Consider the following 6,026-nt stretch of genomic DNA (forward strand, 5'->3'; position numbering starts at 1 on the left):
TGGAGTTCAAATTCGCATTCATGACGCTTTAAACCGTCAGAGCTGGGTGGGTCCTCCTACAACAAAATCGTTTGCTCTCTCTCTCCTAGTTAACAGGCTTTCAAATATTAGAAGATCAATGTTCTGACCCCATTAAAATTTCTCTTTTGTGGAATGAAAAGCTCTGATTTAACCCATCTTCAAGCCTGGTTTGCATATTCCTCTCTCTTCCGGCCACCTTGTCTAGACACACTACACTGAGGCCGTGCCCATCGTAAATGATGTTGATATGTTGTCAAAAAATTGGCAAACCAGGCGCGGTGGCTCATGCCTGTAATCCTACCACTTTAAGAAGCAGAGGCAGACAGATCACCAGAGGTCAGAAGTTCGAGACCAGCCTGTCCAACATGTTTAAATCCGTCTCTAGTAAAAATACAGAAAAAATGAGCTGGGCGTGGGGGTGCACATCTGTAATCCCAGCTACTTAGGAGGCCGAGGCAGGAGAATCGCTTGAACCTGGAAGGCAGAGGTTGCAGTGAGCCGAGATTGCATCACTGCACTCCAGCCTGGGTGACAGAGCGAGACACCATCGCAAAAAAAAAAAAAAAAGAAAAAAAAAAAAAAAGGCTAAACAGCCCAGGTTTGGTCTGATATGTTCAGAAAAAAGCAAAACAGTCACCTCTCACCTTTTCTTTTCCCGCAGTGATGCAGTTGAATACAACAATGGCTGTAGGTATGCTGCAGAAATATCATTCAAGTGAAACAGAAGGGCTTTCCTAGCCAGACACAGTGGTCACTCCTGCAATCCCAACACTTTGGTTGGCTAAGGTAGGAGGATTTCTTGCGGCCAGGGGTTCAAGGCTGCAGTGAGCTGTGATCCACCACTGCATTCCCGGCTGGGCATCAGAGTGAGGCCTGTCTCTAAGAAAAAAACCCTTCACTCCCCAAAAAAAGGGATTTGCAAATACCAGCCTTTCAGCATGAGGATCACATGGAGGAACATTAAGATACAGATGCTGGGACCCAGCCCTATTGATTGTAATTCAAAAACTGAGGTGGGGCCTGATTTAGCTCCATCATTGGAATCCATTCCGATTTGAAACTCTCTGGGTTGGACAGTTCAAGAGAGATCCTAAAGAAAGCAAAATCACTATGGACTGAAATGAGCAGACAAGGTTTTCTGAGCATGGTGAAATATGATCTGGGCCTCGCTTGGGAGGGCTGTGGCCAGGCCTTGAGTCCTTGGCTCAGTGGGACCTTCTGAAACAGCCTCCAAGCTGCACCCCTGCTTCCTTTGCTTTTGGATGACCCCCTCCAGCAGCTTTGGTGCTGATGGGAATAAGTCGACCTGCAGCGGAAGTTCAGCCCAAGTCTCAGCCCAGCAGCCTCCCCAAACCTGGCCAGGGTCTGGTCATGCTGCCGTCTCTGCGGTTCTCTGTGGAGTTGTGGTTTCTGTACCTTGAAGAGAACTTCCCCTTCTGGGACCCAGAAACCCAGTGAACCCTCAGGAAAAAAGGGAATGAAATTACTGAAGACAACTCTGTGGCAGGGAGAGGGAAAAGAGGCTCTTTGTTTTTGTTTTTTATTTTTTATTTTTTTATTTTTTGAGACAGAGCTTCACTCTTGTTGCCCAGACTGGATTGTAATGGCTCAATCTCGGCTCACTGCAACCTCTGCCTCCCATGTTCAAGCACTTCTCGTGCCTCCGCCTCCAGAGTAGCTGGGACAATAGGCACACACCACCACACCCAGCTAATTTTCGTATTTGTGGTAGAGATGGGGTTTCGCCATGTTGCCCAGGCTGGTCTCGAACTCCTGGCCTCAAGTAATCCACCTGCCTTGGCCTCCCAAAGTGCTGGGACTACAGATGTGGGCCACCGTGCCCAGCCCTCACTGTATGGATTTTCTAAAAAAAAAAAGATTACATTTGTCTTACTTGCCAAAAGGGAAATTAACCTTATCTCCTCTCCTTTTTAAAGAGTATTTCCTTGATAAACCTTGTAATATAAATAACTTCTTTTGTGCCTTTGATATGTACCTAAATCTTTTAAAAAGGTAAATGAACTTCTTGCCAACATTACAACCCAGGAATTTTTTTTTTTTTTTTTTTTTTTTTGGAGACAGAATCTCGCTGTCACCCAGGCTGGAGTGCAGGGGTATAATCTCGGCTCACTGCAACCTCCACTTCCCGGGTTCAAGCAATTCTCCCATCTCAACCTCCTGAGTAGCTGAGACTACAGGCGTCTGCCACCACGCCTGGCTAATTTTTGTATTTTTAGTAGAGACAGGGTTTCACCTTGTTGGTCTGGCTGGTCTTGAACTCCTGACCTCAGGTGATCCACCAGCCTCGGCCTCCCAATGTGCTGGGATTATGGGCGTGAGCCACCGTGCCTGGTCACAATCCAGGAATTTTTTTCTTAAGAGCCTAAGAGTCTTGTCTTTGAAATGTAAACCTGGAGGAAAATAGTGTCCCTATCTTCCTGTTGCCTAGGGAGTTTAGCCTAGGCAACTTGAGCTGTTACTACCTGCTTGTCAAGGAGATGTGAGAAGTTTTATTTTTTCATTGAATACAGGTAATTAACTAGCATGGATGGCCACGTTGATTTCCAGGTGAATTTAGGATGAGTGTTTAAGAATGCATAGCAGGCCAGGCGCGGTGGCTCACACCTGCAATCCCAGCACTCTGGGGGAGGCCGAGACGGGCGGATCACTTGAAGCCACACAGAAATCGAAAGAAGGAGTTTGAGTCCAGCCTGGCCAGTATGGCGAAACTCTGTCTCTACTAAAATACAAATATTAGCTGGGCATGATGGCACATGTCTGTAATTCCAGCTACTTGGGAGGCTTAGGCACGAGAATCACTTGAACCCAGGAGGTGGAGGTTACAGTGAGCCAAGAAGATCACACCACTACACTCCAGCCTGGATGACAGAATGAGACCCTGTCTCAAAAAAAACAAAACAAAAAAAACTGCATAGCAAGTCCTTTTGCATGAGGATGAGTTACTATTTATCTTGAGAGCGTGTATGCAATGGATTGTATCTGCCAGACTATATAAAAAGGACGCTTTGGCCGGGCGCCATAGCTCACGCCTATAATCCCAGCACTTTGGGAGGCCTAGGCGGGCGAATTACGAGGTCAGGATTTCGAGACCATCCTAGCTAACATAACGAAACCCCATCTCTACTAAAAATACAAAAAATTAGCCAGGTGTGGTGGCTCGCGCCTGTAGTCTCAGTTACTTGGGAGGCTGAGGCAGGAGAATCGCTTAAACTGGGGAGGCAGAGGTTGCAGTGAGCCGAGATCGCACCACTGCACTCCAGCCTGGGCGACAGAGCAAGATTTTGTCTCAAAAAAAAAAAAAAAAAAGGAGGGTTTATTTCTCTTTGCATCTCATTAATGGATCACCTGTGATGGGCATCACAGTCTGGTTTAATGCTTATTCAATAATAAAATTGTTTTCTTTATTTTCTGAATTTGTGGAGAGAATATTCTAGGTTAACAGAATAATCTATTTATTTACTTATTTATCTTGAGATGGAGTCTTGCTCTGTCTCCCAGGCTGGAGTGCAGTGGCCTGATCTCGGCTCACTGCAATCTCTGTCTCCCAGGTTCAAGTGATTCCCCTGCCTCAGCCTCCCAAGTAACTGAGACTACAGGCGCGAGCCACCACACCTGGCTAATTTTTTGTGTTTTAGTAGAGACGGGGTTTCACCATGTTGGCCAGGATGGTCTTGATTTCCTGACCTCATGATCCGCCGGCCTCGGCCTCCCAAAGTGCTGGGATTACAGGCGTGAGCCACTGCACCTGGCCTCAGAAGAATTTATTTTTAGTCTTTTCCTTACCAGTTTTTATGAAACAACTGGGCAAGAACACTGTTAGATTTCACCAAAAAATTGTGATGAATCATTGTCTTTATGATCCCATTTTTGAAAATTGACATTTTAATTGTAAACCAAAAATAAAATTCTAAGCCCCCACAACTGACTCAGTGGACTCCCCTGTTGGCCAACAGGATCCAAAATAAACATGGAAAACTAATTTAGGTCATGATGGGAAGGAGGGGGTTGGACATGCCTTGTCATAATTCTCCTCCCGTCAGAGTTTAGGCACAGCTGACCAACATTATGATCTCTATTAGAATAGAGATCATAGGACTGACAAAACAGGCTCTTTTTATCAGTAAGATACCCATCTCCAACCAGACTCTGATATAGCATCACATGACAGATAGCAGTCCCTGAAGTAAATTACAGTATTTTACCCCAAAACATATTTTCTTTGACAAACTTTAAAATAGTCCTGCAAAGCCATCTCTTTGGGGGAAATTTGCATTCTGTAGAGAATCTCTTTCCCTTACAGAAAAGACTCCAGGTCTTTTCTGGAGAGTCTGACACCTTTTAAGATCCAATAAGAGATATTTATCATCTATTCTCCCTGAAGCCTGTTCTGAGGCTTCACCTACATAACAAGAACCTTGGTTTCCACAATCCCCCTTATCCTAACTCAAACTTTTCTTTCTTTTTTTTCCCTCCCTCTTTTTCCTTCCTTCCTCTCTCTCTTTTTCTCTCTCTCTCTTTATTTTCTTCTCTGTTGCCCAAGCTGGAATGCAGTGGTGCCATCATGGCTCACTGTAGCCTCAACTTCCCAGGCTCAAGCGATCCTTCCATCTCGGCCTCCTGAGTAGCTGAGTCTACAGGCATGCACCACCACACCTGGATAATTATTTTTTTTTTGTAGAAGTGGGGGTCTCGCTGTGTTGCCCAGGCTGTCCTTGAACTCCTGGCCTCAAGGGATCCTCCCAGCTCACCCTCCCAAAATGCTGGGATTACAGGCATGAGCCACCACAATGGCCCATTTCTTTATGTAGTCTTCCAGCTGTTCAGCCAACACTTAACTCTGAACCAACTGCCAATCTTTCAATCTACTAGTGACCTGAAAGCCTTTCCTGGCTGACCCAACATATACTTCCCATGTATTGATTTATGTCTTTGCCTGTAACTACTGTCTCCCTAAGATGCATAAAACCAAGCTGTAACCCAACCACTTTGGGCTCACGTTCTCAGGACCCCCTGAGGCTGTGTCACCAGCCATGGTCACTCAAATAGGAGGCCCAGAATAAAACTCTTTACAGACTTTGACTCTTTTTGGTCAACATAACCTAACCCTAAACATAATCCTCCTGGGGAAGGTAAGATCACAGGTATCTCTTCTTCGTTCAGTTTGTATGTGTATGTCCTTATTTCTCTACAGTTTTTAGGCATTCGCTGTGTGATCTAGAAAAGCTATGGAGTCTCGCTTTGTCGCCAGGATGGAGTGCAGTGGCGTGATCTCGGCTCACTGCAACCTCCACCTCCCAGGTTCAAGTGCTTCTCCTGCCTTAGCCTCCCGAGTAGCTGGGATTACAGGCACGCGCCACCACGCCCAGCTAATTTTTGTATTTTTAGTAGAGACAGGGTTTCATCATGTTGGCCACGATGATCTCTATCTCTTGACCTCGCGATCTGCCCGCCTTGGCCTCCCAAAGTGCTGGGATTACAGGCTTGAGCCACCGCGCCCAGCTACAAATTCTATTTTCTTTTTGTTCCTTGGAAAGCATCGCTGGGCATTTATCCTGTCCCAGTATTTGAGTGAAACTTCTCAGCATTTCAGAGCAGTGACCATGATACACCCTTTCCTTTCCTTCTCCTTATGGCAAACTCGGTTCTAACCCAGAGGACTTGGGCTCCAGGACCCAGTAACGCAGCCCTGGACTTGACCCTAAAAGGGAGTAAAGACAAAGGTGAAGTTCAGTCCGGGGTTCAGGGCTGCCAAAGCTCATAGCCTGGAGCTTCTTAACCTTTAGGCGGGGTAGAGACATTTAAGACAGCCCCTAAACTTGGGGAGCGCGTAGGCTCATGGGAAATAGAGTCTGTTACTTGTCCTGGGACCGCGGTGGGTGTCCGGGGAGGCGGACTTCCGGTGCACTCCTGCGCGTGTGCACCTCTCCCTGCGTGCGTGTTCGCGCGTGCGTGCTCGCACATGCGCGCCACCTCCGCACTGCCCT

Source organism: Homo sapiens, chromosome 7 (assembly GCF_000001405.40).
Source record: "Homo sapiens chromosome 7, GRCh38.p14 Primary Assembly".
Taxonomy (NCBI): domain Eukaryota; kingdom Metazoa; phylum Chordata; class Mammalia; order Primates; family Hominidae; genus Homo; species Homo sapiens.